Source organism: Homo sapiens, chromosome 6 (assembly GCF_000001405.40).
Source record: "Homo sapiens chromosome 6, GRCh38.p14 Primary Assembly".
Lineage (NCBI taxonomy): Eukaryota > Metazoa > Chordata > Mammalia > Primates > Hominidae > Homo > Homo sapiens.
In genome coordinates, this window is record NC_000006.12 from 72,657,971 (window position 1) to 72,671,431 (window position 13,461).

Sequence of the window (13,461 nt, forward strand, 5' to 3'; positions counted from 1 at the left end):
ATTTTTATCCACAACTTAGATTCAAGTGAGTCATAGCTATGTTTTGTATTCTGGGCATCTGCAGGCCAGGAAGTATGATGGGCAGCCCAAGAAGTTCTCCTGAAACTCTTGAAATCCTTCCCTTTTGGGCTTAGAACATTGATAAAGATTCAGTCTGAATTCCAAAATGTCTGTTTTGAGAGAATAAATGCCCAGGAAGACCCTTTGAAAATAAAATGGGTTTGTTCTACAAATTAGATATTTATGTATGTCAAGTTAAATAGTTAATTACTTCATTTTTGGTGATGTGTAAAGAATTTAATTTTATTTATTTTTTATTTATTTTTTTGAGACGGGGTCTTGCTCTGTCACCCAGGCTGGAGTGCAGTGGCATGGTCTTGGCTCACTGCAACCTCTGCCTCCCAGATTCAAGCGATTCTCTTGCCTCAGCCTCCCAAGTAGCTGGGATTACAGGCGCCCACCACCATGCCCAGCTAATTTTTATATTTTTTGTAGAGATGGGGTTTCATCATGTTGGCCAGGCTGGTCCCAAACTCCTGACCTCAAGTGATCCACCTGCCTCAGCCTCCCAAAGTGCTGGGATTAAAGGATATATATATATATATATATTTTTTTTTTTTTTTTTTTTGAGACAGGGTCTTGCTCTGTCAGCCAGGCTGGAGTGCAGTGGCACGATCTCACCTTACTGCAACCTCCGTCTCTCGGGCTCAAGCAATTCTCCTGACTCAGCCTCCCAAGTAGCTGGGATTATAGGCATGTGCCACCATGCCCGGTAACTTTTGTATTTTTCGTAGAGACGGGGTTTCACCATGTTAACCAGGCTGATCTCGAACTCCTGAACTCAGGTAATCCACCTGCCTCAGCCTTCCAAAGTGCTGGGATTACAGGCATGAGCCACCTCGCCCAGCCTACCCAAATATATTTCATGATACACATTTCTTAGAATCATGAATTTTTTTACAGTTGTTCATGGCTTTAAAAATTAATGTGAGATTTCTAAGCATATTTAGAATCCAGACATTTCCAAAGTGTGCTATACATACAGCTTAGCAGTTAGGCGGATATTGTAAGGATTTTTTAAACGTCTCCATTAATGGGAAAGATTAGTTTACCTACATTTAAGATTGCCTTCTTGCAACTTTCCATCTCTCATTTGAGCCTTATTCTGCACAATATAATTTAATCAATAGTAATCCACTTTTAAATTTCCACCCATATCTCTCCTCTTGTTTATCCAACTGTCTTATTAATATTTCCAAGGATGGCTATAGACATTTCTGCCTGAATATGCACAAAGCCAACTTCCTGTTTGTCCTCATCCCCTCATTCCAAACTTGCTCCTGTATAATCATCCTCATCTATGTATCTTGCCACACCCAACTCCATTTTTCTAGCCACTCAGACAAAAACAACCCAACAAAAAGGCAAACAAACAACCATCTATCTTAGTTCATTCGTGCTGTCATAACAAAATACCATAGACTGGATAATTTATAAATAATACAAATTTATTTCTCAGATTTCTGGAAGCTGGGAAGTCCAAGATCAGAACACCAGCAAATTTGGTGTCTGGTGAGGGCTACTCTTTGCTTCCAAGATGGTGCCTTGTTACAGCGTCCTCTGAAGGGAACTAATGCTGTGTCCTCACGTGGAAGAAGGAATGGAAGGGCAAAAAAGGGATTAGGGTGCTCCTTTCAACCTCTTTCATAAGGTCACTGAATCTTTTCTTGAGGGCTTTGCCCTCATGACTTAATTACCTCCAAAAGGCCTTGCCACTTGGTATTATCACTTAGGAGACGGATTGTCAATATATAAATTTGGAGGGATACATTTAGAACATAACATCCCCTCGGTCCCCCATAAAAAGCAAAATTTTGAATTATCTTGTCCATTTTTTTCTTTTCGAAAATGCCATGTCCAATTGATAAAATAATCCTTCATGATATCTCTATAGCTGTTCCACTTCTAACCACCTTCTCCACTTTCATCTTAGTAGTTTCTGCAGTGGCTGCTTACGGAGTTTCCTACTTCCGTTCTTGTCCCTTGTGGGCTGTTTTCAACACTGAAGCCAGGGCAAACCTTTTAAAACCTAAGCCAGGTCATATATTTCCTCTGTTGAGGATGTTTATGCAGTATTACTGAAGTGTTATGAATATTATTAATAATAGTATAAGCTAATGTGTGTTGATCACTTACTGTGTAGCGGAGCCTGTGCTAAAATAGTACAAGCCAATTCTCATTTTATCCCCACCACAACCTCTTATTATTCCTATTTTACGCATGAGAAACTGAGCTATAGAAAGATTGAACAATTTCTCAAGATCACTTAAATTATGAGGTGGCAGAGCTATCTTTGAGCTTAAGCTGTCAGATTCTAGAGCGCGGACATGAAAAAACTAAGCTCAACGTTCTCTCCTTTCTTTGTAACTGTTTAACCTCTTAACATGGTATACTCAAAGTCTGTCTGATAATCCCTTTTTATCAATGAAAAGGCCAACAATAACATGTGCCATATTTTGAAGGACAGCTTTGTAATGAAGTTTCTTAGCATCCTGTTTCTTAAGAAGTAGTTAGCAGTACACTGAGTAAATACCAAATATTTCTCTTGACATTGATGGTCCCAGCAGCATTTCAGTGTCCCGGAGCAACTCCTACTAAGTTTTAAAGTTTATCTTGCACTTCACTCCTCATTAAAATTCTACTATTGATGTCCTATTTTGACTTTTAATCATAATTTGTCCTTTTAAAATCGTTGCTCATTCAGGCAATAAGTGAGTATAAGTAATAAATGCTGTTTTCAGAAAATTGCATTAATAAATTCTGTTCTTCATGAGAACTAACAGGTACTAAAATGAATGTAATTGTAGATAAAGAAGAATTTGTTCAGTTGTGAAGTGGTACTGTGTTTTATCAGACTAGTAATGATGGCCGGAACCAAAGTTATTATAACCTAAATATTGGCATATAATAAAAAGTACTCTTTTAAAATTTATAGAGGTCTCGTGTGTAGGTGACAAAATTTTTAAAATCATACTTTTTTTCATAAAGTTTAAACAAATATAAATTTCATCCACTACCCAGTTTTAAAATATTTATTATTTTCCAATATTTCAGATATTCATGTCTAAATCATTTTCCAAAGGAAACTCATTTTATATATATATAGATATTTAACCCTCTTGTCGAGAACTGAGCCACTAATGTGTTATTTAATACTTATTTTCTTAGAAATGTAATATTCTATGTAATTATTATTTATATGTAAGTTATAATAACACATTGAGAATTTACCAAATGGAGTACAACATAATATTGACATGAGTTTCTATCTTAAAGTATTTCTAAAACTATCTCCATAGTTTTTCTTTAGTCCTATCATGCAGGCTTATCAGCTTACTTAGCATGATGACTGTTTCACAATTATACAATTAATAAAAAGTGAATGCCTTCCTTGAGGTACAGGAGGTACTCTAGAAAAATATGTTAACCCACCATCCATAATATTCTCCAATTACTGTAACATAATTGAGAATACATAGAAGATTTTTTTTCCCCATAGGAGTAAGTTTCTTACCATATGTTTTCCATTTATTCAGCCTGACTTTTTTAGTATTGATGTAGGCTTGGAAATGTTTTTACTATTGCCCTGCATTTTCCATGACACACACCCAATATGTATCACTAGAGTGTAGTGATTAGATGAGATTTAGAGACATGAAGATTGGTATTTAAAGGCTGCCTGTGACTTAACTAGTTTCGTTGGCTTGTTATTTGGTCAGTTTATTTAATCTCCCTATGCTTGTTCTTCATGGGTTCATATATGTAAAGCATTTAGCATACAATGGTGCATAATGGACCATTTTTCTGCATTTACAGCATCTCATCAATGGGCTAGAATAAGCTTCTTTAAATGAAAAACTGGACTGTTTCCAAATTATTTATTTATGTTTAGCCATCACAGCACCCAATAGAGTGTCACATTCAAAATGAACTTATGTGATAGAGGTGGCGCAGTGCTCATGCTTTCCCATACAACCCATCTTTTTTCATGCAGTGCTTGGTTCATATTTTCTTCCTTCTCCTAAACCTCTTTTTGGCATAATCTTTCTTCTTATTTCTTTCCTCATCTGATGCATAACTGTTTCCCTATTTAGAAAGCAATCTTTATTATTACTTCTTTTCCTCTCAGCACATTTATATCTTAAACCTTATTTTTTGGTGCAGCTGAGGAGAATAAATTCTATTGCCATGTAAGCACATTTACTTCAGTCACAATTTATCCTTAATATTTTTAATGATCAAAAGTACTAGCCATGAAAAATAGGTATTTTATGTCCTAGGAATAAGAGGAAAAATAAATAAAATTTTGTACTTTCCTTGTATAGTAAAATATCTGTGGCTTGTTTCTTTTTAATTCTCTCTAGCCAATCAGAAATGTGGTGATGATATGATAACATAAATAACTTTTGTCTGGAATGTTTTTATTGAAAAGCAGATGTGAATCAGCTACTAGACAGATATCATTACACCATGCCCATGAGAGACAAAAAAGAAATTAAAAATTAAATAATATTCACAAATAGCTAAACTAAAGCAAGTAAAACATCAAAAACTCAGGTTAACTTGGAAATAACTTTTTTTTTTTTACAATACCTAAGTAATATTTTTCTTTTCCCTTTAGAAAGGCTCCTGACATTGTTTAGCAAATACAATATTGTGGCCAACTTAAGAACTAAATCACTGTTCATCTTTTTAGGAGATTGCTTTGTTGTGTTACTGTTTTGTTTTGTTTAAGCTGCCCTAATTATTAGTAAGAGAAAAACAAGGCTATTTTGAGAGCTACAAATATGCATCATACAAATATAATGATCTAGAATAATTGCTGATTAATAAATAAACCGCATTTATTGCTTATACTCACTGATACTACTTTCTATGCATATCAGTGAGTGTATGTTGCTCTTTTAAAAACCTTCCAAGATAAAATATTTTAAAGGTCTTCCAGAAAACTCATTCCTGATACAATAGTATTTGCTTGAGAATTAAAATAATCCTGTTTCTCAAGAACAGAAAACCGAACACTGCATGTTCTCTCTTGTAAGTGGGAGTAGAACAATGAGAACACGTGGACATAGGGAGGGGAACATTACACACCGGGGACTGTCAGGGGGTTGGGGGCTAGGGAAGGGATAGCATTAGTAGAAATACCTAATGTAGGTGATGGGTGCAGCAAACCACCATGGCACGTGTATACCTATGTAACAAACCTGCACGTTCTGCACATGTATCCCAGAACTTAAATATAATTTTAAAAAATCGTGTTTCTAAGGAGGCCTAAAGTTTCATTTTATTAAGGTCTGTCAAGGATGTAAAGCATTAAATACTGCAATTATAATTATATTTGGTAATCATATTTGGTATTTTGCCCCCTACAAGGTTGACTGAGACTAAACTAGTCTTCCTAAGAGTGAGTACACCAAAAATTTAGGTATCAACCTGGTTACCTTAATTGCTGCTTAAAATTAGTTCTTAGGAAGTCACACTTCTCTAAAATTAAATGAAGTTTTTTAAAAAGTAATATTCAGATTTTGGTTATAAGTATAAAGCTGTAAGTCGAGAATAAATCTGAAATTGGCATAATTTATGCTATGTCCAAAAGATCCCAAATACAAGTTCCCAAAAAAGGAAATTAAAGTTTAGGAACATGACCTAAGTATAGTGCTTTCCCATTAAAGTTTGGAGCTTTTAAAATGCATTCTTCAATTCCAAAATAAGACTCTTTCAAAGGCACTTCTTTTTCAAATTTTATGGTGTGAAACACAAAATATATTCTTTAAAAAAAAAAGTACTTCTAGTGTTCTCAACCATTCTTTATATGTGTGTTGACAGTGTGTCCTCCGCTTTAAATCTTCAAGTATATTATCTGTACTCACTTTGGCTACCTATTTTCAGACCATCCAGTTTCAGATTTTGTTTGGAAATACTTCTCTGGACCATCACCCTACTCCCCAGAGTTTCTAATTCTAACTCATGACCTTGTTTCCTTCCTCCCTCTTCAACCTGTTACAATTTCCTAAATACTTTGCACATTTACCTGTAAAAGCTACTGACTTCAAAAGGACTTTAAACATTATTCCAAAGTGCTAGTGGACATGGAATACAGGAGTGAACAGAAAGTGTTAGGAGGGGATGTAGATAATGAATCCTATGTGATAGGGAAGTGCAAGAAAGGAGTGAGAGTTGGAGTCTAAAGTTAATACAAAAAAGGAAAAGTTCACACAGTTAAATTTATTCCTGAAATCTCTCAAAACGTCGGGTTCCTTGACAAATAACAAAATGTATTCTAACAACACAGTTTGTATTAATGAAATATAATTTTAGTAAATATTATTTGGAAATCAGGCCGGGTGCGGTGGCTCATCCCTGTAATCCCAGCACGTTGGGAGGCTGAGGCAGGCAGGTCACTTGAGGTCAGGAGTTTGAAACCAGCCTGGCCAACATGGTAAAGCCCTGTCTCTACTAGAAAAAACAAAAATTAACTGGGTATGGTGGCACATGTCTGAAATCCCAGCTACTCAGGAGGCTGAGGCAGGAGAGTCCCTTGAACCTGGGAGGCAGAGCTTGCAATGAGCTGAGATCGTACCCACTGCACTCCAGCCTGGGCAACAGAGCAAGACTCTGTCTCAAGAAAAACAAACAAACAAACAAACAAACAAACAAACAAAAAACACAAAAGCTATATAAGAGAAGCAGGGAAAATAAACTGAGCTCATGAAATGACAGTTTGAGAAAGTAATATCATCAAATGACTCGAGGTAAGGCCATCACTCAAAGGAATTTCATTGGGATAATGTGAGTTAAATAAATACAAAAGAAATAGGACATTATTCAAAACTGTTACTGTCATTTTTACCATTAAATGTAATTGTCATTAATCTCATAAATCTCCCCTATTGAATTCCCGATAACAAAGTAATTAGCTACATAGACATTTTATCAACTACGTAGGCAGACTGTAGTTTACAAGTACAAATATATTTTTGCGTAAAAGCATTGTTTTTGAGAATAAAATAAAGCCTTCAAAATTATGTAACTGCCTGGGTGTGGTGTCTCACGCCTGTAATCCCAGCACTTTGGGAGGCCACGGTAGGTGTATCACTTGAGGTTCAGAGTTGGAGACCAGCCTGGCCAACGTGGTGAAACCCTGTCTCTGCTAAAAATACAAAAATTAGCCAGGCATGGTGGTGCACGCCTGTAGTCCCAGCTACTCAGTAGTCTGAGGCAAGAAAATCACTTGAACCTGGGAGACAGAGGCTGCAGTGAGCCAAGATCATGCCACCTCCAGCCTGGACGACAGAGTAATACCCTGTCAAAAAAAAAAAAAAAAAAATCTCAGTTTTAAGACTGTGAGTTGAGGATAAAACCCATTTGTGTAATATGGCGTTTTAAAAGTAAGTACCAGAGTCTAAATCTATTGTCATCATTTAAATCCACCCAAGATTTGCCAAGAATTTCTGAAAAGAAAATCAAAAGCATCCTGGTAAACTTCTAACTAGTTCTGTATGGATTATTCACGTTATAGATTGGCCATTACATAAGAAACAACTTCCCAAATCAGGACTCACATGGGGGCATTAGAAGCACAGTCTCTGCCCAAAGCAACCAGACTACTTCCTTTCTTTCCATATAACTATATTTTTCATGGATAGTCTCTGTTTTCAAATTTCCACTTGTTTACCCTCGTTGGCACAGATCATAAAGAGTTGCCGCATGAGGGTGATTATAGGGTGCCAGAAGTTATATAACGCACACTCTGTTGTCTTTGAGGTAATAGCCTTAGGAGGCCACACCACTGCTATATTATATTACAGGGTGGCTATTTCTTAACCTCTTTGGAATTGACTCAGAATCTCTTAATGAACTACATAGGAATTTTAGTCATTATTTGGCTTCTGGTCATGAATAAAATTACCCCAAACCTGTTACCCACCTTACTCACTACTCTTGGCTTCTCATGACCTCATATTTGTTTCCGTAATCAGAATAATAGGAAACAATTCTAAACCAGGAGTTCTATAAACGGGTTCAGCTGTGGGAGTAAAATAGGAGTAATTTCATAGCTTCTCCGTATAATTGCACTGTATCTGTAAGAGTAGAAGACGTCAATCTTAAAAGATTTGAGGAGGTTATTTCCACACATTAAAAGGTAAAGTTAAATATCATTCATTTTTCAGAGGTAAATAATGATAAATAAAGAGAGATATACATCACGATATTAAAAAGGACTTTAATGTTATAATTTAAAAAGTCTCTAAACTTGTATTCATTTTAGTGGTGTATAAAAGGAAAATAACAACTGGAATAAATTTACATATTGATTTGTGGAGAAGTCACATCTTATCCCAAAATCATGACATTATCGATTAATCAATATCACTATCGTAAAACTGAATGACTTAAAAATGAAAGAGCATTTAATATTTTTCGCCAAATTTAATAGGCTAAGTGGTTTACTTTAAACTCTGTTTTGAATCAATTTAGATTCGTAAGTTTGAATCTCATCTGTGCCTTTAAAAAATTATTTAATTTCTTTTTAAATGACTTAATGTATTGAAATTATACCTAATGGCTAATTTGTAATGAAATTATTCAAAATACTTACAAAATTTACTCTAAAGTGATCTGAAATACAGATTTATTTATTGAATGTTAACATGAAGTTTTGAGAAATATGTTAATAATGTACTAAAGTAAAATGCTAGTATTTTATTATGAACGTTTACACTTAAAAACCTTGAGAGTGCATTATCATAAAATTCACAATAAAGTGTAAAGTCCAGTAAGAAACTTATTAAGTATATTCATGATATAATGGTGAACTAACTCCTAGGGTTCCAACTAAATGTGCAATTAGTAGGTTATGGTTTCCATCTTTTACAATTACATGTTCCATTGTTTATAGATATACTACAATAAACATTCCTAAAATACTGGTCATGATAAATTAGCAAAGAAATCAATTGAACAACTTTTAAAAGATGTGTGCTACTATAACTTTAGCAAATATTCATTAGGAAATAAATGAAATATTTTTTTTTTTCAAAGAAGATGTGAGAAACAGCTTCTGATAAGAAATGTCTGGTGTCTGCTGCTACTCTCCTACCACTCTGTCCTCACATCTGTTTTCAGTTGCCTTTACAACAAATCTTTAGGCTAGCTCAGCTCAAAAATTGGATCTCATCAAGCAAGGGGAGTGGAATGGGCTTGATCTATTAAATTAAGGCAGCCACCAAAGATGACTTAAGCCTCACCTCTGTCTCTGCTCTAGAGTTAGGCACCATTAAGCCTCCTATTGTACTTGTGTTGATCACTCAGATTCGTATCCCGACTTCACCCTGCATTGCCCTATCCAGGGGAATTCAGGCCTTTGCCTTTTTTTGTTTTGAAAGCTGACAGTTCAGGAATAAGAAAATTGAAAATCACCATTAGATAAATATTATAGAAATAGTTATTGATAGCAAGATCTACCCGTGGGTATTAAAATAAGTGGATAAGAGATGAAGGAGACATAGGATATTTATATTGTCTCAAAGTATTTCACCCAAGATATTTATTAATTACGAAGAAAAAGATAGTCACTTTACAGTGAAAAAATCAAGCAGGTACCAGTTGATGATTCGGTTAATGTCAACAGTAACAGGATACATGTATATCAAATGGTTGAGGTTAATATCAACAGTAATAAAATATATCCATATTATGTTTCCTAATGTAATAGTAATAGGGCATATTGAAATGATGTATCCCTATATGATGGTATTCATGTTAACAATGCATAATCTTAATCTAATGAGAAAATATCAGATGAGTGCAAGCTGAGAAACATTTTACAAAATAACTGACCAATAATCTTCAAAAATTTCAAGGTCATGAAAGGCAAGGAAAGACCAAGAGACTATCACACACTGGAGGAGATTAAGGAGATATGACGAACAATTACAATGTGGGATCTTGGTTTGGATCTTGGAACAGAATAAGGACTTTATTGAAAAAACCTTGAAATTCAAATAAAATTTGTAGTTAGTTAATACTATAATAATATTAATTCCTTGGTTTTGATAAATGTACTATGATTATATAAGAAGTTGATATTGGGAAGGCTGGGGAAAGTGTATAGAAACTCTCCTATACACGATAGTACAGGGTGTACAATTTTTGCCTCTTTTTCTATAATTCTTAATAAGTTCAAAATTTTAAAAGTTATTTCTTAAAAAAGGAAAGTTGACAGCCCAAATCAATATAATTCAACTGCATTGACTAAACATAATTACTGAGCATCAACTCTGTGTTAAGCATTGCAGAGGATACAATGATGAGAAAACGGAATTTCTGCCTTCAAACAATTTACAGTTTGGTGAGAGCAATGAAATAAATTAAGGTAGCTATATGAGAGTTGGCACAAAGAGGACAGAAATGACCTCCTGTTGGGACTCTGTGTGTGTGTGTGTGTTTTGGGTGAGGTGGTAGATTTAGAAAAGTTTTTTTGTGAGCATAACATGAACTAGAACTTGATTACTCCAGGTGTAACCAGAACTTGGTTACTCCAGGTGATTCATTAGTAGATGTCTTGGTCAGGTCAGGCTGCCATAACAAAATTCCATAGACTGGATGGCTTAAACAATGGAAACCTCACAGTTCTGGAGGCTGGAAGTTTCAGATCTTGGTGCTGGCTGATGTGGTTACTGGGGAGGCCCTCTTTCTGGGAGCTCATGTGCTCTCTCCCCACCATGTGAGAACATGGCAAGAAGGCAGCCACCTACAAACCAGAAAGAGGGCCTCCTCAGTAACCACATCAGCCAGCACCAAGATCTGAAACTTCCAGCCTTCTTAGAAGGACATTAGTCCTATTGGATTATGGCCAGGCCCTAAAGACCTTCTTTAACCTTAATTACCTTCATACAGGCCCTGTTTTCAAATATACTTATTGGGGATATGGACTTCAATGTATGAATTATGGAGGGACACACACATTTAGTCTGTGACATTCCACCCCTGGCCCCCCAAAATGTATGTCCTTTTTTAGTGCAAAATGCATTCATTCCATCCTATCGCCCCAAAAGTCTTAATGCATCAAGCATCAACTCTAAAGTCTAAATTCTAAAATCTCATCTAAATATTATTTAAGTCAGATGGATGAGACTCAAGGTATGATTCATCATGAGGCAAAATTCCTCTCCAGCTGTGAACCTGTGAAACCCGACAAGCTAATGGGCTTCCAAAATACAATGATGAGACAGTTATAGGATAGACGTTCCCATCACAAAAGGGAAAAATCGGAAGGAATGAAGGGGTGATGGATCCCGAACAAGTCAAACTTAGCAAGGCAAATTTCCATTCAATCTTAAGGTTGGAGAATAATTGTCTTTGGCTTGAATAATCCTCTTTGCCTTGAATAATCCTCATTGACTTTCCAGGCCTGGGGTTGGCAGCATCACTGCCACAGCTCTGCAGGGTGGCCCCACCTTGTGGGTCTCTGAGGCAGCTCCACTCTCTGAAACCAAGCAGGAAAGAGCCTTACCCACCTGTCTTCCCCTCCCCTTGGGCCTGTGGTGGGAGTGGCAGTTCTGATCATCTCTGAATTGCTTTCAGAGTCATTCTTCCCTTTCTTTGAAGACTAGTTCGTGTTCATAGACAAAGAGCTCTATGGTCTGGTCCTGTAGAACCCAAGAAGTTCGACAGCCTTCTGTTATTCCATCCCATTTTCTGTCTCCCCTATTTTTCAAACTGGCAGAGTCTCTGCTGGTGTAATCCTACTCCTGGCTGTGCTGAGATGGCTGATTACATTCATGAATTGCACCTATGCTCTCTATCAAGCAGTTGTTCAGCCATACCCTTAATGCTTAGTTGCTTAGTGTTCTCTTCAAAACAAACTTTCTTTCCTTTTTTTTTTTTTTTTGGAATGTGGATGGGCTGAGAAATTTCCAAATCTCTCAGTTCTGGTTCCTTTATACTTAACAGTTCCTTCTTCCATTCATCTCTTTCCTCTTGAATTTGACTATAAGCAGTGAGAACCAAAGCTACACGTTTAATACTCTGCTGAGTGTCCAGTTTTATTGCTCACAATTCCTGCTTTCTACAAAACACTAAAGGACAATTCAGGCAAGGTCTTTGCCACTTTATAACAAGGATCAACTTTCCTCTAAGTTTTAATCAGCTGTTCCTCATTTCCATCTGGGCCCTCATCAGAATGACCTTTAACGTCCATATTTTTGCTAACATTCAGTTTATAATTATGTATGTATTCACTAAGAAGATGAAAGCCTTCTCTCCAGCTCTCCTCTTTTCTTTGTGAGCTTTCACCAGTGTTGCCTTTAATGTTCATATTTCTACCTATGCTCTCTTAATGGCAATCTTAGCTTTTTCTAGCATGTACCTCCAGCTCTTGCAGCCTCTACCCATCACTGAGTTCCAAAACCACTTTAGAACTTTTAGGGTTTTTGTTTTTTTTGTTTTTAGGTACTTTTTTACAGCTTTACCCCACTTCTTAATCCCAAAATCTGTCATAATCAGTTCAGGCTGCCATAATAAAATGCCATAGTGGTATTAAACAACAGAATAAGTAACTTAAACGACATGAATTTATTTTCTCACAGTTCTGGATGCTAGAAGTCCCAGAGTGAGGTGCCAGCCAGTTCGGTTCTTGGCTTTCTTCCTGGCTGTAGACAGACACCTTCTTGCTGTGTGCTCCTGTGGTGGAGAGAGACAGTATGAGATCTCTCGTGTCTCTTCTTATAAGGACATGAATCTTATAGGATCAGAGCCCAACTCTTACATTCTTGTTTAACCTTACTTACCTCAATAGGTAAGGACATAAGACATAAACAAGGACATAAGAGTGGGGTTCTGATCCTATAGGTCAGATCCTGTAGACCCGGTAGGGTCTTCAAAGGCCCTATCTCTAAATAGTTATATTGGGGGTTGGATATTCAATATTCAAAACACTAGAGCACAATTCAGGCAAGTTCTTTGCCACCTTATAACAAGGATCACCTTTTCTCCAAGTTTTTATAACCTGCTGCTCATTTCCATCTGGGTCCTCATCCAAATGACCTTTAACGCCCGTATTTCTACCAACATTCAGTTCACGATTGTTTAGTATTCACTAAGAAGATGAAAGCGTTCTCTCAGGCCTTCTCCCTTTTCTTTTGGAGCTCTCAGATTTGAGGGATTTTGAGGGGATACAACATTAAGTTAATAAGAGTAGACAGCCTTTACTTTGGGAAAACTGAATGAGTCACTTGCTCAGGAGAAAGGAATAGGGATACTGATGAGTTTCATGGGGAGTCTACAGTGAGGGCTTATAGGGCTGTGTGGAAGGCGTAGATGTGTTTATTGTCAGAATAGCCAGAAGGATTTCTCATAGTTATGCTACTAGCATTTTGATAAAGTCTCAGTAATTGC

At 36.3% G+C, this 13,461-nt stretch overlaps 1 protein-coding gene and 1 long non-coding RNA gene across 10 annotated transcripts in view, besides 1 other annotated feature; both read left to right on the plus strand.

Annotated features, from left to right (window-relative positions):
* KCNQ5 (potassium voltage-gated channel subfamily Q member 5) overlaps window positions 1-13,461 on the plus strand; it is a 576,790-nt gene that overhangs the window by 35,907 nt on the left and 527,422 nt on the right. The window lies entirely within an intron of this gene.
* The window catches only part of KCNQ5-IT1 (KCNQ5 intronic transcript 1), a 48,064-nt gene that overhangs the window by 27,476 nt on the left and 7,127 nt on the right, over window positions 1-13,461 (plus strand). The window lies entirely within an intron of this gene.
* Window positions 11,551-11,620: a silencer, noted in NCBI's record as "silent region_17331". NCBI's record gives its function as "represses an Ori minimal core promoter by ATAC-STARR-seq in GM12878 lymphoblastoid cells {active_cell/tissue: GM12878}" and the evidence as "EXISTENCE:reporter gene assay evidence [ECO:0000049][PMID:35858748]".